The sequence below is a fragment of the Homo sapiens genome, chromosome 22, assembly GCF_000001405.40.
Source record: "Homo sapiens chromosome 22, GRCh38.p14 Primary Assembly".
Classification (NCBI taxonomy): Eukaryota; Metazoa; Chordata; class Mammalia; order Primates; family Hominidae; genus Homo; species Homo sapiens.
Window position 1 is genome coordinate 18,496,480 of NC_000022.11, and position 24,115 is coordinate 18,520,594.

Here is a 24,115-nt window from a genome sequence, read left to right on the forward strand (position 1 = left end):
GTGTGATCGTGTTTACACAAAGTCCTCTGCACCTCTGCATATATCACTGGGCAATGCACCTTAGTTATCATTCCACATTTCAAATGTAAATCCATTGTATTGTTTCAGAGCTATAAAGTACTGCACCCCATGACTATTCCCAAAATTACTTAAGCACCCCGCTATGGGTATCCGTTTGTTCTGTTTCCAGTCTTGCTCTTATAACCAATGCTGTAGTGAACAGCACTGTGTTGAGAAGCGGTGAACGTGGGCATCTTTGTCTTGTTCCCTTCCTCAGGGGGAATGCTTTCAACTCTCCCCCATTCAGGAAAATGTTGGCTGTGGGTTTGTCATAGATAGCTTTTATTACCTTAAGGTATGTCCGTTCTATGCTGATTTTGACGAACGGTTTTAATCATAAAGAAATGCTGGATTTTGTCAAAGGCTTTTTCTGCATCTATTCAGATTATCATGTGATTTTTGTTTTTAGTTTTATTGATGTGATGTATCACATTTATTGACTTGCGTATGTTAAACCATCCCTGCATCCCTAGTATGAAACCCACTTGAATCATGGTGGATTATCTTTTTGATATGCTGTTGGATTCAGTTAGCTTGGTTGTAGCATTTCTTATTATTCCATCTGTGGAATGTATTGGTTGAAATAATGAAAACATGTTCTATCCTCACTGCTTAGCACTTTGTGTTTCTTTAATAGCCTTCCCAACAGGGCAACATAAAAGCAGGAGCCCTGCTAGTCTCCCCTTAACCCGGAATCCCCCCTTCTCCACAGCTCGCTCATTGGACAGGATAGACTGGGCGCCCAGGCTTCAAGGTAAGGACGTGCTCTGTCACCTAGAGGTGCAGTGCTTGGGAAGGCCAACCTTGGAGGGTTGCCTGCCAGCTTTACAGTGACAGAGGTGTTGAGAGGGACTGACCACCAGTGCATAAGGCTGTGCTTTGTTGGTGACATAAAGGATTGTTTCACAGATTGTTGGGGAGGGACAATCCCAAGGCCTCCCCTGGCCCTGGTGCTGGCTCTGCACAAAGGCAATAAGAGAGGGATGCTGGTAAGGGCTGACCTGTTGCTGTGCTGGGGAGGAAGGTGCTGGGCTGAAATTCAGGAGGCTGAGGATGCAGCAGTCCCATAGGAGGTACATGACCTTCAGGATACATTTTCTTCATTGATGATCAATGGAAATGAGAAATCACTGACTATTTTTTCTATCATTGGAATCTACTCTCCACTGCTCATGCTGTTCCTGTCTTTTGGGGAAGATGGAGGATCAATCAGTGTGCGCTGCACTGAGTGGAAGGAAGGAGAACTGTGACAAAAATTAAGGAAGGATGAGAGACGGGAGGGCCCTTCATCCAGCTGCTTGCAGAGTCCTCCTGAGGAGGAAAGCCCCGTGGCTCCCTGGCGAAGGAGCAGTGAGGGCTGCGTGACTCCCACAGTGAAGTGTGTGGTATGTCTGAGGACACCCAGGCTGGTGGTCCATGAGGAGCCAGTGGCAGAGTGAGAAGAAGAAAGGCCAGGAGGGTGGCTGGAGGCCAGGCTCTGAGTCATTCTCCATGTGATGGAAACAGCCGGAGCCCAGTGGGCTTGGAGGTACAGGATGCGGTGGCTGATGACAGAACAATGTGGAGAGAGGCGTCATTTGTCAAATCCTTACTTTGTTCTGGGCATTGTACTAAAAATTCTAATGGCTCATCCCATTTAGGGGCTGAAAGTTGCAGAGGTTTAGGAAGCTCACCCACGATACTGGAGCCCCCATCTCTTGCCCTAGTGCTGTCCACCTTCTCACCCAGCCACCACCTGTTTCGGGGGAACACACAGAAGTGGTAACCTCTTATGGAGAGGCAAGTAAATTCTGCTGTTTTTGTTATTCACAGAAAAACACTGGCTCGTGTGGGTTGGGAAGGTGAAATACCAGAAGTATTTCATCTGGTTATTTCTACCCATGCAACTCCTATAGTATTGAAATGCATAGGTTAGCATTTTTGGCCAATTTACTCAGCATTCTGGGTTAAAGGCTTTTATTTATTTTATTTATTTATTTATTTATTTTTGAGATGGAGTTTCACTCTTGTTGCCCAAGCTGGAGTGCAATGGTGCGATCCTGGTTCATTGCAACCTCCGCCTCCCAGGTTCAAACTATTCTCCTGTCTCAGCCTCCCAAGTAGCTGAGATTATAGGCACATGCCACCACACTGGGCTAATTTTTTTGTATTTTTAGTAGAAATGAGATTTCACCATGTTGGTCAGGCTGGTTTCGAACTCCTGACCTCAGGTGATCTGCCCTCCTCGGCCTCTTAAAGTGCTGGGATTACAGGCGTGAGCCACCACGCCTGCCCTAAAGTCTTTTAAAATTCACTTGTATAAGTTGACTTAGTTTTCTTTAACCTTGTAGAAAAATACAAAAATGGCAATCTCTTTTATCACACAAATAATGTCTTTTTAATGGAGTGATTTTTTTCTAATTGAGGTATTATGTACTTTTCATTTACAAATTATTGTTTACATTTGAAGTGTTTTATGAATTAATATTTAATTGCATAGATGAAGATTACTAGTTATAGGCATTTTACTAACCAATACTCATTAAGCATAGCATGGATTCATATGACATCAAGGAGCTATTTTATTTGGTAAAACGAAAAAGCACAAGAATGAACGAATGCAAGAACTGAAACAGTGGAGACACCTAGAATGACTTGTCTAAGATCTAAATCATTTTGTTGTCTTCCCAGCATACTTATTATCCTGATCATTGTCATCAGCATTGTTTGGGTCCTTTTAGCACAGATTTCTCAAAATGGGTAACTCCATAACAGTTGGAAGCTTACGAATTCATATAATTTGTAAGAGGTCAATTTGGAAGTACCTATCTATTTTAAAATTCCAATAACCTGGGAATTTCATCCCATGTCTAGAGTCTTTTATGTAAAATATTTCCACAATTAGGAGAAATATGTGCATGGGGATTTTCTATGTAGCGGTGTTTTGATAGAATAGAAAATTGGGATAAATCAAATTTCCATCACGAAGGAAATAGTAATATGCTGAATAATAATACAGCGAATATTATGCAGGCTTTAAACATCAAAAAAGAGTTCAACTTCTGACTTCCGATGATGGTGTTGAAGCAGGTCACTGCTGGTTTACATTTGATTTTCATGTGGGAACTCTGGAAGTCCGCCTTAGTGATTTTACATGTGGCTAAATTGAGCTAATGACAAGCCGTTCGAAGTATGGCAAAATGGAACTTTAAAACAGTATCTTGTCAACAACCAAGAGGACCTGTTTCACATAAAGCCCATGCATTCATCTGCCTGTCCATCATTCTGTCTGTCCACACGGGCATCATTCGTTAGTGGAACTGAGTGCCCACTGTCGAGCTGACAAGCCCATAACCTCCCTGTTCCTAGTCACACATTAATTCTTCAACAAGTCCCTTTTGATAGATTGTGATTAAGCTTAGCTACTATTTCCAATTGCTTCCCCAAACGTACTTCTCACTGTTCTCCCATCACACCCTTCAGCCCATCCATGCGGGGTTCCTTTGCTTTTCCCACCTTACACCAAACTCCCTATTTTTACTCCCACTTTTACCTCCTCTCCAAGACAAAACAAACAAAACTAGCATTTTAAAACTTAGTTGTAATCTTTCTTCCTTCATGAAAATTTCTCCAACAGCCACTCCCACGGTCCTGTGTGTTCCAGATATTTTAAAATAATGGCTATAAGGCTGAGCACTTCAGGATATGCTGTTTTGCTGTGTGCAGATGGAGGCAGTGGCTGGAGTGAATGAACGGCAACACTTGCTGGCAACCGGCAGAAGCTGAGAGACAGGGAACAGGCTCTCCTCCAGAGCCTCCAGGAGCCAGGCCTTTGGACACCTTGAATGTGGGCTTCTGGGAGACCATGCGTTTCTGTTATAAGCAGCCCAGTCTCTGGCAGTTTTTACGGCTGCCCCGGAACACTCATCTATACCTGTCTGACAAGGTCAAGCTCCAAGGAAGGGATTCTCTACATATCTACATTGTTTGCAGATTTTACAATAATCATTTATTCTTGCATGGCTGATCATTGTTAACCAATACAAATAAAATAATAAAGAAATGACCCACATTTTATGTTGGGAGTTTGATCTGCCATTTATCAAGTATGGAATCTTGAACAAGGGGTTAAACATCTGAATGTCTCCATCACTTCATCTCTAAAGTGGGGGTGCTCACACCCACTGGGCTCCCCCACCCAGGTTGGTGCCGGACTCTCCCTGGGCCCCCCTGTTCTCTCACCAGCCACATCCATTCTCCCCCCAGAGGCGCTAGTGACTGTGCGTGGCTTTCCATTCCCACCATGTTTGTCTCTAACCCCAGTGGCAGATCAGTGTAAGAACACAGCTGAGTGCTCCTCGCCTCCTTGCCCCTTCAAGGGCTCCTCACCACCCACCAGATCAGGTGCAAACTTCCAAGCCTTACTGGATCCCCTTCCACATTCTGAGCTCCGCCTGCCTTCCCATCGCTATCCTTCCCCACCTGCCTCCCTGGTAGAGAAAAGCAGAGTGTGTGATGCTGTCTGAATGCTGAGCACGGCCTTTTGCAGCCAGTCCACTGTGTATGCTGCCCCTATCGGAGACCTCCACCTTAACCCTTTCCAGCCTGGAGGCTCCTCCCAGGGCCCCACAACAGAAGTGACTTCCCTTGCCTTTGAATTTCTATAGCACAAGCCCTACTGCCCCCCGTTAAAACTGCAAAGTCCTTTTGTGGAAAATAACTTTATTCATGACTGTGTTTATCACACTATCTTATGGAGAAGAGATGATCAATAAATATTTGTTGAATAAATGAATAGCAGTTACAAAACACTTGATTCATATGGAATTAATGTTGGTTCTCAAAGTGAAAAATTACAAACAGCACTGATATTCAGCCAGTATACAAGTCTGGTCACAGCAGTTGTATAATACTGAAATACCCCCTGCCACTGACCTTTGGCCCCCAGATGCCTCCCACTGCCACTGCTCTCCCCACTGGGAACCCCTGAAGTTCCCACAGGCTCATAACTAAAGGGCTAATGTCTCGCACAGCAGCGAGCACCCAGGACCGAGCAGCCACATGGCCGGGTCTGCTGGTGAAAGCATCCATTCTGACTGATCAGGACCTGAGGGGCCTCATGGTTACATATTTTGATAATATCCCTAATTATAAATAAGGCTCAGTTATATAGTTTGAAAACAATGCTTCTCCTCATCGCAAAATCTCTTAGAAGACTCCGTAGATCCAGGAACGGAAATGGAAAATGACAGCGTGTCAATCTCTGAAGGTTTTGGGCATTTCCATTAGCACTCCATCTTCATGTAAACCAGAAGATATGCAGTTTCCTGCCTAGAGAGAAGAGAAGACACATCAGCACAGCGGCATGAAAGCTTCATCAGAAAACAATGCTTCATTAATCCGTGACAGGACAAGCGTCAGCAAACTTCCAGGCGGCTGGATTAGGCCTTCATCTATCCATCACCTTGGAGAGGAACAAAATAGGTGGCCTGGGAAGATAAGCACTATGTTTCTATTCCTTAATATCTAAAGCGGAGGTTAACAAGCTATGGACACACAAGCCAAACCCAGCCCTCTTGGGGTTTTTTAAATCTACTTTCAACTTTTATTTTAGATTCAGCGGGCACATGTGCAGGTTTGTCACGTGGATATGAGCATACTCCCCAACAGTTGGCCTTTCACCCCTCCCCTCCCTCCCCATCCAGCAGTTCCCAGTTGTTGCCATCTTTAAGTCAATGAGTCCCCATGTTTAGCTCCCATTTATAAGAGAGAACATGCATTATGTTTTGTTTGGTTTTTGCTGGTTTTTTTTTTTTTTTTTAATGGAGTCTTGCCCTGTAGCCCAGGCTAGAGTGCAGTGGCACAATCTTGGCTCACTGCAACCTCCGCCTCCCAGGTTCAAACGATTCTCCCTCCTCAGCCTCCCGAGTGGCTGGGACTACAGGCGCCCGCCACCACGCCCGGCTAACTTTTTGTATTTTTAGTAGAGACAGGGTTTCACCGTGTTAGCCAGGATGGTCTCAATCTCCTGACCTCATGATCTGCCCACCTCAGTCTCCCAAAGTGCAGGGATTACAGGCGTGAGCCACCGTGCCCAGCCTTTTGTTTATTTTTTGACGAGACGGTTCTTGCTCTGTCACCAGGCTGGAGTGCACTGGCACAATAATAGCTCACCACAGCCTCGTGCTCCTGGGCTCAACTGACCCTCCTGCCTCAGTTTTAGCTTCCTGAGTAGCTAGGACTACAGGTGTGTACCACCATGCCTAGCTATAATAATTTTTATTTTTTTGTAGAGATGGAGTCTTGCTTTGTTGCCCAGGCTGGTCTTGAAGTCCTGGCTTGAAGTGATCCTCCTGCCTCGGCCTCCCAAATTGCCGGGATTAAAGGTGGGAGATCGCACCCAGTCTCCAACCCTCTTTTTGCAAGTAAATGTAACTGGACCCCAGCCATGCTCATCTGCCCATGTACTGTCTACGGCTGCTTTTGCTCTACAGGGCAGAGTTAAGTGGTTGCAACAGACACCGCACAGACCACAAAGTCTGAAGTACTTTCTCTCCAGCCCTTTACAGAGAAAGTCTGCCAACCTCTAATCTCAATAACAGGGAAATCAATGACAACCACAAAGTGACAAAGACTGGGTGTCTAAGATGGATGCTCAGAATAAACAAGAGAGAAAGATGAAAAGTAGAAGGAGGATTTCAAACGCAAGCTTCACCTAATCCGTTATTTTTCAAATGACCAGGCCTATCTCTGTAGCTGAAAATCACCTCAAATAAGATCTCTGATATACAGTCTCCAAAAGCTCAGCCAAGAAACTTACAAAGTCTCTCTGCCTTAACTTCATCCACCTTTTTTCTCTCCAGCTTCTCCTCGGTAGTTAATGATTATAAAAATATTTATTGGCTCATGCCTGTAATCCCAGCACTTTGAGAGGCCGAGGCGGGCAGATCACGAGGTCAGGAGATCGAGACCATCCTGGCTAACACGGTGAAATCCCGTCTCTACTAAAAATACAAAAAATTAGCCAGGCGTGGTGGCGGGCGCCTGTAATCCCAGCTACTCAGGAGGCTGAGGCAGGAGAATGGCATGTACCCACAAGGCGGAGCTTGCAACGAGGTGAGATCCCACTACTGCACTCCAGCCTGGGCGACAGAGCAAGACTCCATCTCAAAACAAACAAACAAACAAACAAAAAAACAGTGTGATGGCCAGGCGCAGTGCTCATGCCTATAATCCAAGCACTTTGGGAGGCTGAAATGGATGGATGGCTTGAGCCCAGTAGTTTGAGACAAGCCTGGCAACATAGCGAGACCTCATCTCTACAAACATCTTTAAAATATGCCAGGCATGGTGGTGCATGCCTGTAGTCCCAGCTATTCAGGAAGCTGAGGTGGGAGGATCACCTGTGCCCGGGAGTTCAAGGCTGCAGTGAGCTATGATCACACCACAGTGCTCCAGCCTGGGCAACAAAGCAAGACTCCATCTCTAAAAATAAAATAAAATTAAAAAAAAAAGATCTTCGCTGTAAAAGAGGTACACTCAAATGCAATAAAAGCATATAAGAAGGCCGGGTGTGGTGGCTCATGCCTGTAATCCCAGCACTTTGGGAGGCCGAGACGGGCGGATCACGAGGTCAGGAGATTGAGACTATCCTGGCTAACGCGGTGAAACCCCATCTCCTCTAAAAGTACAAAAAAATTAGCTGGGCTAGGTGGCAGGCGCCTGTAGTCCCAGCTACTCAGGAGGCTGAGGCAGGAGAATGGCATAAACCCGGGAGGCAGAGCTTGCAGTGAGCCTAGATAGCACCACTGCCCTCCAGCCTGGGTGACAGAGCGAGACTCCGTCTCAAAAAAAAAAAAAAAAAAGAAAAAGAAAAGAAAAGTTCTTGTGACATTTGTGTATGAAATCAGCCTTCACTACATGGATAGGACCAGCACGCTTCTGCGGCACGACTCTGCAATCTTACTACATTTTTTTTTACTTTGTATTTTATTTATTCCTTTTGAGACAGAGTCTCACTCTGTCACCCAGGCTGAAGTGCAGCCGAGATCTCGGCTCACTGCAACCTCCACCTCTTGGGTTCAAGCAATTCTCTTGTCTCAGCCTCCCAAGTAGCTGGGACTACAGGCACACGTCAAAACGCCCGGCTAATTTTTGTATTTTTAGTAGAGATGGAGTTTTGCCATATTGGTCAAGCTGGTCTCGAACTCCTGACGTCAGGTGATCGACCTGTCTTAGCCTCCCAAAGTGCTAGGATTACAGGTGTACATTTATTTATTTATTTGAGATGGAATCTTGCTCTGTATTTATTAATTTATTTATTTGAGATGGAGTCTTGCTCCATCGCCCAGGCTAGAGTGCAGCGGTGCAATCTCGGCTCATTGCAACCTCTGCCTTCCAGGTTCAAGCGATTCTCCTGCCTCAGTGTCCCAAGTAGCTGGGATTACAGGTGCCTGCCACCACAGCTGGCTAATTTTTGTATTTTTAGTAGAGACAGTGTTTCACCATCTTGGCCAGGCTGGTCTCGGGCTCCTGACCTCATGAACCACCTGCCTCAGCCTCCCAAAGTGTTGGGATTACAGGCCTAAGGCACCATGCTCGGCCATATTTATTTATTTAATTATTTAGAGACAAAGTCTTGCTCTGTCACCCAGGCTGGAGTGCAGTGGCGCCATCTCAGCTCACTGCAGCCTCCGCCTCCGAGGTTTAAGCAATTCTCATGCCTCAGCCTCCTGAGTAACTGGGACTACAGATACTTGCCACCACGCAGGGATTTTTTTTTCTATTTTTTTTGTAGAGACACAGTTTCACCATGTTGGCCAGGCTGGTCTCGAACTCCTGACCTTAGGTGATCTGACAGCCTCGTCCTCTCAAAGCACTGGGATTACAGGCATGAGCCCCTTGCCCGGCCTCTCACTACATTTAAGTGACGCCATGGCTCATGCCTGTAATCCTAGCACTTTGGGAGGCCAAGGCAGGTGGATCACCTGAGGTCAGGAGTTCGACATGAGCCTGGCCAACATGGGGAAACCCCGTCTCTAGTAAAAATACAAAAATTAGTCAGGTGTGGTGGTACAAGCCTGTAGGCCCAGCTACTTGGAAGACTGAGGCAGGAGAATCACTTTAAGCGGGAGGCAGAGGTTGCAGTGAGCCAATATCATGCCACTGCACTCCAGCTTGGGTGACAGAGTGAGATACTGTCTCAAAAAAAAAGAAAAAAAGAGAGAAAAACATATGATGCCAGGGCATCTCGGCCTCAATACCTGGGTGAGCACAGTCATGTCCAGGCCAGGGCTGCTGGTCGAGGTCCGGCCCCATCTCTTCCAGCAGAAAGGGAGTAAGCTTGCAGGGAGGCTGGGGGACAAGATCCCAGGATCTCAGCCTCTGCTCATGGATCAGCTCTGAGACCCCGAGTGAGCTGGGGGTGCTCTGTGCGCATTGGTTTCCCCAGCTGTCAAGTAAAGAGATTGGATGAGGAAGTCTTGTCAAGGTGGAATGATCTCAGATTTGGGGCAGCAGTGAATGATCCCGCTCCCTGGGCCATGCCAGTGGCCCGGCCTCGGCTGAACACAGCCCCAACACTCTGGAATGGGGATGAGGGGGCAGTCAGCTCTTGCTCCTAGTAAGAGAGATGCAACAGGGCTCTGTGGCTGAGCTGGGTGCCTTGCCTCACACCTGTAATCCCAACCTTTGAGAGGCCGAGGCAGGAGGATTGCTCGAGGCCGGGAATTTTGAGAATAGCCTGGACAACATAGCCAGACCCCATGTCTACAAAATAATAATAAAACACACAGCTATAGTCCAAGCTACTTGGCAGGCTGAGGCAGGAGGGTCCCTTGAGTCCAGGAATTGGAGGCTGCATTGAGCTATAATCGCACCACTGCACTCCAGCTTGGGTGACAAAGTGAGACCCTGTCTCTAAAAGAAAAAAAAATTGGCCTGTGAGCATGGGCTTGATTTTCAAACAGGACCCGGAGGGTAGGGTAAACGTGTGGGTAAATCTAAATGAATGTTATTGGTATAAAATTACAGTAGTATAGAAAATGATATCTTGTGGGGTTTAAAATAAATAAAACATACTGAAATATGTATGGGTACAGTTATATATCTGGGATTTGCACTGAAATAATGTGGGGTAGAGGGAAGCAGGAAAGAGTATACATGAAATGAGCTTGGCCATAAGATTGTTGTTGAAATTGAATGGATACTCTGGGCTTCATTACACAATTCTCTTTACTCTTACATAGCTCTACACTCTCAACATAAATAAGAATAAAAACACAAAAAACACACAGATACATCTATGCACACACACATATTTAAAATACACAAAAATATTAGCATATAAGTCACTGGGGGTAAATTTAGTTCCTGTTCCAAGGTTCTTGTACTGACTAGGAAGAGGATAGAAGTACTAACTCATAGGCTGGGCGCGGTGGCTCACGCCTGTAATCCCAACACTTTAGGATGCCGAGGTAGGCAGATCTCTTAAGGTCCGGAGTTCAAGACCAGCCTGGCCAACATGGTGAAACCCTGTCTCTACTGAAAAAGAATACAAAAATTGGCCGGGCATAGTGGTGCACACCTGTGGTCCCAGCTACTCAGGTGACTGAGGCAGGAGAATTGCTTGAACCCAAGAAGTGGAGGTTGCAGTGAACCAAGATTGCTCCACTGCACTCCAGCCTGGGCAGCAGAGGAAGACTCTCTCTATCTCAACCACAACAAAAAGTACTAGCTCATGTTAGACTTTGATAAGGGAAGGATGCATGTTGTAAGCTCTAAAATAATCCAGTCATCTTTTAAAATAACTCTAAGACTGCACAGTTATGAAACTAATAGAGAAGGAGGAAATTAAATAATAAAACTAATAAATCCAAAACAAGATGTGAGAGGAGATAAGAAGAAATAGAATAGGCATGGAAAACAAATTGGTGGTGGGTTTCAACCCAAATAAATCATTAGTTACATTTAAAAGGACAATAAAAATTAAAATAATTGAAAATAAAGTAAAACCCAACTAATGCCTTTTATATAAGGGTACAGAGAGGTGGAAGATCATGAAAAATATGTCATGCATGTACTAACCAAGAAAGCTGTATAACTTTTTTTTTTTTTTTTTTTTTTTTTTTGGAGATAGAGCCTCACTCTGTCTCCCAGGCTGGAGTGCAGTGATGTGATCTTGGCTTACAGCAATCTCTCCCTTCTAGGCTCAAGCGATTCTCCCACCTCAGCATCCCAAGTAGCTGGGACTACAAGTGTGCCAACTTAGAATTATATTAGCCACACCCAGCTAATTTTTGTATTTTTTGTAGAGGCAGGGTCTCGCCATGTTGCCCAGGTTGGTCTTGAACTCCTGGGCTTCAGTGATCCACCCACCTCGACCTCCAGCAAAGTGCCAAGATTACAGCCATGAGCCACCATGCCCAGCATAACTATTTTTAATGAAGTAGACTTTAAGAAGAAAAGTATTATTAGAGGTAAGGGACACATCACAGAAAAGAAGAATTTACTAGGAGCCAGGCGCAATGGCTCGTGCCTGTAATTCCAGCACTTTGTGAGGCCAAGGCGGCGGATCACCTGAGGTTGGGAGTTCAAGACCAGCCTGACCAACATGGAGAAGCCCTGTCTCTACTAAAAATACAAAAATTAGCCAAGCATGGTGGCACATGCCTGTAATCCCAGCTACTCAGGAGGCTGAGGGAGGAGAATTGCTTGGACCCAGGAAGTGGAGGTTGCGGTGAGCTGAGATTGTGCCATTGCATTCCAGCCTGGGCAACAAGAGCAAAACTCTGTCTCAAAAAAAAAAAAGAAGTTACTAGCTAGTTTCGGTAATTCTTAACATCCAGGAAACTGGATGTGAAAGTTTTTCAGAGAAACTAAACCAATAGATTATACATAGAGAGAGACTTATTTAGGAATTGGCTCACATGATTGTGGGGACTAGCAAGTTTTAAAATCTGTAGGGCAAGCCAGCAGGCTATAAATTCAGGTAAGAGTTGATCTCGAAGTCTGGAACCTAAAATCTGTAGAGCAGTCAGCAGGCCAGAAACTCAGGCAGGGTTTGTGTGTTACAGTCTTGAAGCAGAATTCCTGCTTCTCTGGGAAACCTCAGTTTTTGTTCTTAAGGCCTTCAACTGATTGGAGGTGGCCCACCCATATTATGGTGGGTAATCTGTTTTACTTAAAGTCAATTGACTGTCAGTGTTAATCACATCTATGAAATAACCTCCCAGCAAGATATTGACAAGTATTTGACCAAACAACAGGACACCATAGCTTAGCCAAGTTGACACATAAATTAACCATCAGGAGCAAGTAGAATATCCAAAAAACAACATACTAGGGGTATTATATCTTATATAGCTATTATAATTATATAAAACATATAATTATAGAATGACGATATTAAGATAACCATTAGAACAAAAATATAAACTTTTCTTTCTTTTTTTTTTTTTTTTTTTGAGACCAAGTCTTGCTCTGTCACCCAGGCTGGAGTGCAGTGGTGCAATCTTGGCTTACTGCAACCTTTGCCTCCTGCGTTCAAGTGATTCTCCTGTCTCAGCCTCCCAAGTATCTGGGATTACAGGCACCTGCTACCATGCCCAGCTAATTTTTGTATTTTTAGTAGAGACATGGTTTCACCATGTTGCCCAGGCTGGTCTCCAACTCCTGACCTCAAGTGAGCCACCCCCCTTGGCCTCCCAAAGTGCTGGGATTACAGGTGTGAGCCACCACACCCAGCCAAAAATCACCTTTTTTACAAGGATCAAAACAGTCATTATGCTGGAGATGACAGACCTCACTGTCACCATGCTCCTTTTGTATGTCTACTAGGCACGGTGCTGGGTCCACACTCACAGAAACCTTAGGAACTCGCACCCAGGGGCTCCGGCTGTAGCAGAATCCCAAGAATAAAACCTGGTGCTGAAAGAGTAGGAGATGAGGCCGGGTGCCATGACTCACTCCTGTAATGCCAGCACTTTGGGTGGCCAAGGCGGGTGAATCAAGAGATAGAGACCATCCTGGCCAACACGGTGAAACCCCGTCTCTACTAAAAATACAGAAATTAGCGGGGCGTGGTGGCTGGCACCTGTAGTCCCAGCTACTCAGGAGGCTGAGGCAGGAGAATCATTTGAACCGAGGAAGCAGAGGTTGCAGTAAGCTGAGATCGCGCCACTGCACTCCAGCCTGGTGACAGAGTGAGACACCGTCCCAAAAAAAAAAAAAAAAAAAAAAAGCAGGACACTGAACTCTGGGAGGGCCTCCTGGTGAGAGGTGAGCACAGAGGGGAGAGATGGAGGCAGGAGCATGGGCTTCTGGTGGCCCCAGCAGACCCTGTGGCAGCGTGGCCAGGGTCCTCTGCAGGGAGGAATCTTGGCCAGGATGACGCTGTAGCAGGCCTCTTCCTGAGGCCTCCAGCCAGCCCGGCCAGGGTCCCAGCGTCCAGTGACCCCTGTTTCACAGCAGCAGCTGGGGCCAGCCCCAGGCTCTCTTCCACTCCCAGCTTCTTAAAACTGGAAGTGGAGAGAGTTGTTTGATAAAACACTGGGGCAAACCACATCCTCTCTTCACCAAGGGAGAGTTCGAGGGGATGCCGGCAGAGGGAGCTTTAGAGTAGAGACCCCTACCCAACCAGTGACCGTCACGCACACAGCAGGGCATGCTATGGAGACCCCCAGACAGTCACTCGGGGAGACCCAGCAGGTCCAGACTCTTCAGAGATCTGTGGCAGCAGGTCCCCACTCCCAAAAGCCACGTGCCCACGGGTGGTCTCTGGTGCCTGAGACCCCAGTCTCATTTGCATCTTTGCAACTTCGAGTTTAAGTGGGTGTCGCATCTCTGTATGTCCTCCCGAGCAGAGGAGGGGCACAGCCTGGGGTGGCAGCTGGCGTCAAACCCTCAAATCCCCTGAGAGCCACTGGGGAGACTAAGCAGTCCCCAGCCCCCACTTGTCCCTGAGCTGCCATTCTCAGCCCTGTGGGAGGAGACAGAAAGCCCTGAAGAGAAACCAAAGGACCAGGTCAGGAGGGGCTGGGGGGGTGGCATGAGCAATCAGGGCAGGGAAGGATGGACCGATGGGGGAATGGAGGGAAGAAGGAATGAATGAAAAGGTGAATGAATGAACAAAGAGAGAGAACGGCCACTCCTCCCTTGCTTTAGTTTACAAAGTACTGGGATCCTCCCAACAGCCTGCAAGACAGAATTTCTGGGAAGCAGACCAGGTGGCTGGCAGGGAGGGGAGGCTTGCCCTGGCTTTTGTGGGCCCAATGGGAGGCAGGGGGCAAGAAGGGGCATCCTGTGTGTGTCCTCCCTGCAGTGGCAGCAGCACCTTCCTGGAAGAGGGTCAGGAAACACCCGCTGTGGCCCCTCTCCACCACGCCCTCATCCAGGACACCAAGTATCAGTCACTCAGCTCACGAGACCCAGGCCCTGACTCAGGGAGAGAGGATGTGAGGGGTGGGGCACCGGGCTCCTCAGGACTGAGAGACCTGGGATGTGGCCCCGGGCTGGGTGTAGGGGCAGACTGGCTATGGCAGCATTGTGTGTACCCCAGCAGGCCAGTACCCACGCAGGGAGCCTCCAAACCCCTTCACCCATGACCCTGGGAGAAGACCGCAGCCTTGGAGAATTGGCCTCACTGAAGGGGCCTGCACCGGCCAGCAGGGTCAGGCGGGGCCAGACAGGTTCCCACCTGGGATATGCAAATGGGCCTCCTGAATCCTGGAGCCAGGTATGGACTCACACACCACCATTGTCCCCAAGTCCCCATCTGCCCCACGGGCACACCCTGCCGCCTGTTCTGTGCAAGGGCCCTGAGGCTGTCTCCTTGCGCCCAAGACCTGCAGGTGCTGAAGCCCACACACACGGCTCCTGCTTCCTGGGCCAGTGCACGTGCACACACACACACGTGCACACACACACACACACCCACAAATATACCCACACACAATCACACACATTCACACATACCCACCCCCCATACTCACACACACATTTACACACACCCACACACCCACACTCACACACTCACAGTCACACACACCCTCACACAGCGAAACACAATCACACACATTCACACCCACCCACACCCCACACACTCACACTCACATATACTCACACACACCCACACACACATACACAAACACAATCACACACATTCACACACACCCACACTCACACATACACACACCCAAACACGATCACACACATTCACACACACCCACACCCCACAAACACACTCACACATATACCCACACACACTGACACATAATCTCTCACACACACACATGCTCACACACACACGCCTTCTCCAGGAGGGGCTGGCTGCCAAAGGCCACCCAGCTTCCTCCCACGTCTCACTCACCGTACAATATTTGAGAAGACCTTGGAGTCAGCAGCAACAGCGGCGTGGGCAAAGGCCGGGGGTCAAATGGGGCCTGGTGTCGAGAGAGGACCACAGCCAGCACAATGACAGCCAGCGCCAGCCCCAGCCCCAGCCCCAGCAGGACCAGGTCACCCATGGCTCCGTAGTCCTGGGCCATGGCTCTGCGGCCCAGAAGGAGAGGGGAGGCCGGTGGGCAGATGGAGGGACAGATGGGTGGGCAGATGAATGGACAAGAAGATGCATAGATAGACTCACAGGTAATTGGACAGATGGACAAACAGGTGGGGGCTGAAGACAGACACGAAGATGGATCGACAGACAGGCCAGATAGCTAGACAAAGAGGACAGTAAGAGAAAGATGGTCAGATAGACAATGGGACAGAGATGGGCTTACAGATGGGCGGACAGACAGACAGGTCTGAACAGCGGGCTGCCAGATGGACAGATGGGTGAATGGACAGATGGCTGGCAGCTGTGGCGAGCTGCTGCCCTCACCAAGTGCACACTACGGAGTGGCCAAACTCATGCCTCAACTTCTAGTTTTCAGCTCCTGCTTGTTCCTGGCAGGAGGCCAGGCAGCAAAGCGTCTGAGGGGAGTTTTCTTTGCCTAGAGAAGTCAGCTGCTGTGTTAACTCCCTCACTGCTGGTAGGTCCAAAGGCCCCACCTACCGCCCGCCAGAGCCCATGGTCACACTGTCGCAATGTGCAGGAGAACTTGGTGCGTGCTGCACTGCGGTTGCCAGGTAGGGGCAGGGCTCCCTGGAACCTCCACACCATTCCCCAGGTTCTCAGCAGCTCTGGGAAAGCAGAGCTGGGGCCGCTTAACTCTGCCCTGGATCCGGCAAGGCTGCCCCCCTCCCAGAGTGGAGCCCTGCTCCCCAGCTCCCATCTCTATCCCCTAACCCTCTCCGCATGGCCCAGCCTAGTCAGCATCAAGGTGGAGCTGAACAGAGGCAGAAGGAGGAGGACCCAAGGTGGTGTCACTCAGGACCCGGGTTCAAGTCCTTATGCTTCTGCAGCCTGGCCTGGGTCCCCCAACTCCCCCAGGGTGACCAAGGGCTTTCCAGTCTGCACAGAGGACAGGGGGTCTTGACAGCATCAAATTCTGGTGACTACGAGACACTTACGTGGGAAATGCAGACAGACCATGCCTCTAGCCCTTGGCACCAGGCACCATCCATCCCTGGGACTTGCTGTCCTGGAAATGCAGCATGGTCCTCCAGGGAGGGGGGCTGTGCCATGTGGGGGCCCCACCCCACCTGCAGCTCTTTCCCACCCTGGCTGCAGGTCTGCTTCCCTGAATCCAAATCCGCTACTACTGTGCTGGCAGCGCAGCCTCTCTGGGGACACTGGCCTGGCTCTGTTCTCCCCAGGCCTCAGGGTGCCTAAATGGGAGGCAACCAGGGGAGTGAGGACCCACTGAGGGGCTCCGTTGACCAGGCTCAGCAGGGGTGCAGGTGATGTGGGGTGGAATCCTTCCCACATGGCCCCCACAGTCCTCCCCGCTTCCTCCCCAACTGAACACTGCCTGCTCCAGATGTGTACACCTGGAGTCTGGGCCCCTCCATCTGGGCAGCAGAGAAACTGAGGCACAGAGACAGACTGTGTCCTTACAGGGCACACAGCCTGCCAGGCCCCTATGTCCGGCCAGAGCCCCTGGTCAGCCTGGGCTGCAGTGATTGTTTAGAGGTAGGCTGTTCCCACGGCTGCCTCTCACGGTAGGGGGGCCTGTGGACGCCTCCTCCCGCCCCCACCCGACTCCCAAGCCTCAGTGACATTGCTCAACCAGGAGCTGAAGTGCATTCCTGGGCTCCGGCCAGCCCACCCACCCACCCGCTGCAGTCCTGGAAGCCCAGAGGCCTGGGCAGCAGGAACAGTGGAGACAGCAGTGTGGGGGACGTCCCCCTCCTCTCCCCACCATCCTCGTCAGGCAGAGGCCAGGGTGCAGGGACCACCGGAGCAAAGGCCCAGGGAAATGAATGGGTGTCATTCTGGTCCTGACCCGAGGCACAGCCAGGAAGGTCCCTGTGGGGAAAAGAAAGAGATATCAGACTGTTACTGTGTCTATGTAGAAAGAAGTAGACGTAAGAGGCTCCATTTTGCTGTGTAGTAAGAAAAATTCTTTTGCCTTGAGATGCCGTTAATCTGTAACCCTAGCCCCAACCCTGTGCTCACAGAAACATGTACTGTGTCGACTCAAGGTTTAATGGATTCAGGGCTGTGCAGGATGTGCTTTGTTAAACAAATGCTTGAAGGCAGCATGCTTGTTAAGAGTCATCACCACTCCCTAATCTCAAGTAAGCAGGGACACAAAACACTGCAGAAGGCCGCAGGGACCTCTGCCTAGGAAAGCCAGGTATTGTCCAAGGTTTCTCCCCAGGTGACAGTCTGAAATATGGCCTCGTGGGAAGGGAAAGACCTGACCGTCCCCCAGCCCGACACCTGTAAAGGGTCTGTGCTGAGGAGGATTAGTAAAAGAGGAAGGCCTCTTTGCAGTTGAGATAAGAGGAAGGCATCTCTCTCCTGATCGTCCCTGGGCAAAGGAATGTCTCAGTGTTGATTGTATATTCCATCTGCTGAGATAGGAGAAAACTGCCTTAGGGCTGGAGGTGGGACATGCTGGTGGCAATACTGCTCTTTAATGCATTGAGATGTTTATGTATATGCACATCAAAGCACAGCACCTTTTTCTTAACCTTGTTTATGACACAGAGACATTTGTTCACGTGTTTTCCTGCTGACCCTCTCCCCACTATTACCCTATTGTCCTGCCACATCCCCCTCTCTGAGATGGTAGAGATAATGATCAATAAATACTAGGGAACTCAGAGACTGGTGCCAGCGTGGGGCCTCCATATGCTGAGTGCAGGTCCCCTGGGCCCACTTTTCTTTCTCTATACTTTGTCTCTGTGTCTCTTTCTTTTCTCAGTCTCTTGTCCCAGCTGATGAGAAACACCCACAGGTGTGGAGGGGCAGGCCACCCCTTCAGGTCCCTGAATGTCCTTCCTCAGGAAATGATGGGGGAAGGGGCGATGAGAATGAAGGAGACGATTTAAGTCCCTCACCCCCCGAGGTAGTCCTGGGCTGAGCCCCATGGGACCTAGAGAACCAGGGTGTACCCCACCAGCATGTCGGGTCCAGGAAGCCTCGTGGCCAGCTCCCACTTCTCTTCCTGCTGTGCAACCCAGAGCAAGGCCTGCCCCTCCAGCTTCAGTCTTCTCCCCTGCAAATGGGGCCACGGCCTTTCCTCTCAGGCCAATATAAGGATTGAGGCCGGGTGCAGTGGCTACCCCTGTAATCCTAGCACTTTGGGAGACTGAGATGGGGGGACTGCTTGAAGTCAGGAGTTAAGACCAGCCTGGTCAACATAGTGAGACCCCATCTCTATTGGTTTAAATTTTTTTTAAAAAAATTAAATAAATAAAATAAGGATTGAAGAGTGACTTGTACACCAGTTGAGCCCACCTCCATCTCACCCTTGCAGAGCCCCAGAGACACAGCCCTCCAGAGCTCAGACCCAGTGGGACTTGACTCCACAGGCATAAAACCCTGTTTGTCTATGGGCCCTTTGGAATCACCAGGTTTTCGGGGCTCCTGAAGGATAGCCCCGACCTGGCCTCACCTGGCCCCTGGCCCCAGTGCCCCTGGTGATATCCAGGTGCTGGGCTGTGATCACCGCCTCCCACCAGCCCACCTCCACCAGCCCTTCCCAGAACCCTGCTCCAGGTGTTGGAACTGTGCACAGAGGAGGGAGCAGGCCCCGAGGGAGGCCTGGAGGGGCTGCCAATGGTGAAGGCTGCTGTGTCGAGCTGTTTCCTTCCGGACCCACTCCCTCTGGGCTGCGTCCCCGGCTGGTCCAAGCCCTGATCCCTGGGATCTGGGGACATCTTCCCGTTTGCTGTTCCCTGAGAACCAGGCCTCCCTGTGGAGAGGATCACAAGCTTGGGTTTCACTCTGGGCTTGCTCTTGGGAACCCCCCAGGGGCATGGCTCTGACCGAGATGTTTTCCTCCAGCCTGTTGCCCAGTCCCCATTCCTCGGACCCTCAGCTTCACCTCCAGTGTCATCGGCAGGGTGAGCTGGACGCCTACGGGTCTGAGAAGGCGCCCGGGTTCCCAGCATCGGCTGGCCACCCTCTGCCTAAGAAAGCGCCAGGGTCGTGACACCCCCTGGTGGCTGATCCTAGGTAGTGTCACTGCCCAGCCCCAGTAAGGGAGGGCCTGGCCCCAAAGTCTGAGGGATCAGGGTGGGAAGGGGCAGGGTTTGGTGTGAACCTTCCCCTGGCCCCCAGCCATGTGCCTTGCTCTCCCCATGCTGAAGATGCTGAGGCTAGTTCCAGTGCCCGCATTGTGAAGATCTCCGAATCCCACCTCTCTGTTCCTCCCCAGCCAGATGGCTCCATTTCACACACAATACACTGAGGCCCAGAGAGTGGGGAGACAGGCCAGGGAGGCCACCTGGAGCCTGGCACAGTGGCCTCATTTATTATGCTGCTCTGCTGCTCACAGGGGAAGCCCGTCCCCCAAAGTCCTCTTCCTCATCCTGGTGAGTATCTTGTCCCTGGATTGCTTGTCAGCCTTGTCTGCCTGGAGCAATCAGTAGCCAGCAGGTTCCCCGCCTTTCCTGGAGTCCGAGGCAGCTGCCCAGCCACCAGCCGTGCGGACGATGGCTTGCACCACAGCGATGAAGGTGGATGCGATCTGGGTGTGATGGTGCCGGGTCTCCAGGGCTGCAGTCACTGCCTGGGGGTGGGAGGAGAGGGGAAGCCTGAGCAGGGCTCCAGATGCCACCTGAACCACACCTGTGTGGTCACAGGCCTCAGCCCAGGTGGTGCCATTTCAGGCCAGGTCATCAGGAAGAGCAGGTTGGGGCCTGCTGGGTCTCACTGGAGCAGGGGGCTTGGCTCTCATGTCACAGGGGCTCCAGATGGCCCAGGCACTAGAGAGAGGACACCAACCATTGTCCACTCTGTGATGATCCAGGCCTCCAGCCCAGGATGCCCTGGGACCCCACACCGTGACTCAGTTTCTCCAACCCCTGGCCCACCTGGTCAATGTTTCTCTCCACTGTCGTGACGTTGGGCAGAAGCTTGTTGTGCAGCCGGGGCTCCTCCACGGCCCTCTTCACGTCATAGCCGAACCAGAGGTTGTAGATGATGGCCTGGGGCATGGGAGTGTGATCAGCGTGGCTTGGGGGCTGTGCAGAGTGGGCAGGGCCAGGGAGAAAAGGGGTGACACATACCAGTGCAGTGTCTGTGGTGATCTGCGTGCCCCCAGCAGCTCCCACCACCATCCGGACCTGGCCGTCCTGGCCCACCATGATCGTCGGGCACATGGACAAGAGCGGCTGCTTCCCTGCGGCCGATGGGAGAAGACAGGGATGCCCGTCAGCTGCCTGCCCAGGACACCCGCCCCTCTCCACCCCAGTCCCCCACCCCCCAGACCTCCACCCCATACCTGGCTGGATGAAATTGGCAGGTGAGGGGGGTGCCCCAAACTCATTGGTGAATGCTGGGAGAGCTGAAGTCGTCCATTCATTATTGAACAGGATCCCACTGACCGGGGAGCAGACCTTGGAGCCAAAGCTACCGCCCAGCCAGGTCAGACAGCACCCGACCTTGCCTGGCCCAGCCTGGTCCCTATCCACCCACTGAGGCTCAAACATACTCACTGAGAGGCCCAGGATAAGCTACCAAGGTTGGGCCTCAGTTTCCCACCAGGAAAAGAGGTGATGGAGCCACCTTACTGGATAAGTGGGCAGTCCCTGGGCCACCCGCCCCTGGCCCTTTCCCACCCAGGCGGCCCAGCAGCCCCTACTAGAGGTTGATGGTGCTGGTGGCGGACACAGCACTGCCGTCCTCTGCGACGACAGACAGGTGAGCAGTGCCCCCGTCATCCGGCGTGTAGAACTCGGGCTTGTAGTAGGAGATCGGGTGAGTGGTGTGGTCAGAGATCTGGGACCGGAGCTGGGCAGCGAAGAACTCAGAGGTCATGTTGCGGACCACCTGCTGAGACCCCAGAGCTGGCCTGAGGAGGTGGGGAGGGAGGGTGGGGAGGGGGCACAGGTCTCAGAAGGCCCTTGACTGTGACTCTGACCGCAACCCTCTGGCACCCACAACCTTCCGTGGCTCCCCAGGACCCAAGGGCAGGCCCAAGACCTTGCATGACCAGTCTGACTCCCTGTCTCTGTCGCGTTCCAGCAACTCTGAATGTCTGTCTGCCTGGTCCTCAGCCTCCAGACCCTTGCCGCATTCAATCACTCATTCTTTCATGCAAAAAATATTTCTACAATTTGCACTGCATGCCTGGCACTGGGGAATCAACAGGGAACAGACACTTAGGTCCTGCCCTCATGCCAAGAAAAACAAACACACACAGGGAAAGTGCTGAAACCACAGGCCAGGTAAGGGGAATCAAGAGGCATGAGGTATGGGCAGAGTGGTCAGGGAGGGCTTCTCAGAGGAGGCAACGTGTGAAAAGAGCCTGGAAAGTGGCCTAAATGGTCAGTGCAAAGGCCCTGAGGCAGGTGGCATAGGCTGGTGAGCGATAGGCAGAGAGTGAATGGAGTAGGGTGGGGAGAAGAGGATGAAGATGCAGGCTGGGGCCCATCCCACAAGACCTCCTAGGTCCCATAACAACTGGCTTTTGCTCTGTGCCATGCAGGCTTAGGACAGAGGAATGAGCAGGCTGGGGAGTGTTTTCACAGGGTCCCTCTGGCAGCTATGACGGGGATAAGGATAAAGCCCAAAGGGGAGGCTGTGGGTATCAACCAGGCAAGAGATGATGGCCTGGGTGGGAGAAAGAGAAGAAGCCTGTGCGTTCTGTCCATGTGATGAGGTGGGCTCCTCTCAATCTTCACACAGCACAGCTGAGCCTCAAACCCAGCACTCACCCTGACCTCTCACCTCCCCACAAGGTAGGAAAACCTGTTGCCCAGGCTGGAGTGCAGTGGCACGATCCCGGCTCACTACAACCTCTGCCTCCTGGGTTCAAGCGATTCTCCTGCCTCGGCCTCCCAAGTAGCTGGGACTATAGGCGCCCACCACCACGCCTGGCTAATTTTTGTATTTTTAATAGAGACAGGGTTTCACTGTGTTGGCCAGGCTGGTCTTGAACTCCTGACCTCGGGATCCACCCACCTCGGCCTCCCAAAGTGCTGGGATTACAGGAGTGAGCCACCGCATCCAGCCCCTATTTCTTTTTAAGACACGGTCATGATTCATTGCCCAGGCTGGAGTGCAGTGGCACGATCACGGCTCACTTCAGCCTCACACTCCTGGGCTCAAGCAATCTTCCTGCCTCAACCTCTTGAGTAGCTGGGACTATAGGAATGCCGCACCACACCTGGCTAATTTAAATTTTTTTTTTTTTTTTTTGTAGAGGTCTCACTATATTGCCTAGGCTGGTCTTGAACTCTTGGGTTCAAGCAGTCCTCCCACCTCAGACTCCCAAAGTGTTGGGATTACAGTTGTGAGCAACCATGCCCAACCAGATTTTATTTTTATTTTTATTTTTGAGACAGGGTCTCACTGTATCACCCAGGCTAGAGTACAGTGGTATGTTCACGGCTCACTGCAGCCTTGGCTTCCTGGGCTAAGTAATCCTCCCACTTTAGCCTCCCTAGTAGCTGGGACCACAGGCACACACCACCATGCCCAGCTTTTTATGTTTTTATTTTTTTATTTTTTGTAGAGATGAAGTTTTGCCATGTTGCTCAGGCTGGTCTGAAACTCCTGGGCTCAAGCGATCTGCCTGCCTCAGCCTCCCAAAATGTGGGGATTTCAGGGGTGAGTCACCACACCTGGCCCAGATTTTATTATTTAAGTTAACATTTTGTTACCATTGCTTAAAGCCACCTGGTCCTTTTCATCAGATAGTTTCTTACAGCCAGGCACAGTGGCTCACACCTGTAATCCCAGCACTCTGGGAGGCTGAGACAGGTGAATTGCTTGAGCCCTGGAGTCTGAGACCAGCCTAGGCAACACAGTGCAACCATGTCTCTACTAAAAGTTTTGGTCTCGATCTACTGACCCCGTGATCCGCCCGCCTTGGCCTTCCAAAGTGCTGGGATTACAGGCGTGAGCCACCGCGCCGGCCTAAATATTTTTTTTTTAATTAGCTGGGTGTGATTGAGGCTGGGCACTGTGGCTCACGCCTGTAATCCTAGCACTCTGGGAGGCAGGTGGATTGCCTGAGCTCAGGAGTTCAAGGCCAGCCTGGGCAACATGGCGAATCCTCGTCTCTACTAAAAATACAAAAAAAAAAAAAAAAAAAAAAAAAAAATTGGCCAGGTGCAGTGGCTCACGCCTGTAATCCCAGCACTTTGGGAGGCCAAGGCGGGTGGATTACCTGAGGTCAAGAGTTCAAGACCAGCCTGGCCAACATGGTGAAACCCTATCTCTACTAAAAAATACAAAAATTAGCTGGGTGGTGGCGGGTGCCTGTAATACTGGGTACTCGGGAGGCTGAGACAGGAGAATTGCTTGAACCCAGGAGGTAGAGGTTGCAGTGAACCGAGATCACGCCATTGCACTCCAGCCTGGGCAACAAGAGCGAAACTCCGTCTCAAAAAAAATTAGCTGGGTATGGTGGCATGTGCCTGTAATCCCAGCTGCTTTGGGGGCTGAGGCATGAGAATTGCTTGAACCGGAAGGCAGAGGTTGCAGTGAGCCAAGATCGTGCCACTGCAC

At 50.6% G+C, this 24,115-nt stretch overlaps 1 protein-coding gene and 2 long non-coding RNA genes across 6 annotated transcripts in view, besides 1 other annotated feature; 1 reads left to right on the forward strand and 2 right to left on the reverse strand.

The window, feature by feature from the left end:
* The window catches only part of FAM230A (family with sequence similarity 230 member A), a 79,211-nt gene extending 75,096 nt beyond the window's left edge, over positions 1-4,115 (forward strand). For both annotated transcript variants that reach the window (NR_165629.1, NR_136560.2), the window contains exon 12: positions 3,677-4,115. This is a non-coding gene — a long non-coding RNA (family with sequence similarity 230 member A). The remainder of the gene's footprint in view (positions 1-3,676) is intronic.
* Positions 4,116-4,744: 629 nt separating this feature from the next.
* On the reverse strand, positions 4,745-15,945 carry FAM247B (family with sequence similarity 247 member B). Its single transcript, NR_186690.1, has 2 exons — positions 15,407-15,945; positions 4,745-5,370 (listed from the first exon to the last, which is right to left on the reverse strand). It is a non-coding gene; the product is annotated as a family with sequence similarity 247 member B (long non-coding RNA).
* Positions 15,441-16,281: an enhancer, noted in NCBI's record as "H3K27ac-H3K4me1 hESC enhancer chr22:20361787-20362627 (GRCh37/hg19 assembly coordinates)". NCBI's record gives its function as "activates a minimal SCP1, AML or CMV promoter by ChIP-STARR-seq in naive H9 embryonic stem cells {active_cell/tissue: H9 hESC(naive)}" and the evidence as "EXISTENCE:reporter gene assay evidence [ECO:0000049][PMID:30033119]".
* Positions 19,859-21,687, reverse strand: GGTLC3 (gamma-glutamyltransferase light chain family member 3). Of its 3 annotated transcripts, none has more exons than XM_047441480.1 (6): positions 21,584-21,686; positions 21,243-21,452; positions 20,883-20,980; positions 20,668-20,780; positions 20,473-20,586; positions 19,859-20,168 (listed from the first exon to the last, which is right to left on the reverse strand). In XM_047441480.1, the coding sequence occupies exons 2-6, from the start codon at positions 21,416-21,418 to the stop codon at positions 20,022-20,024; spliced, it is 648 nt and encodes a 215-aa protein (XP_047297436.1). In that variant the 5' UTR covers positions 21,419-21,452; positions 21,584-21,686; the 3' UTR covers positions 19,859-20,021. The 3 variants fall into 3 exon arrangements, with proteins under 3 accessions (XP_047297436.1, XP_024308032.1, NP_001342408.1); NM_001355479.1 differs by having other exon boundaries at positions 19,865-20,168; positions 20,883-21,010; positions 21,584-21,682; XM_024452264.2 differs by having other exon boundaries at positions 20,473-20,780; positions 20,883-21,010; positions 21,584-21,687.
* Positions 21,688-24,115: the final 2,428 nt, after the last annotated feature.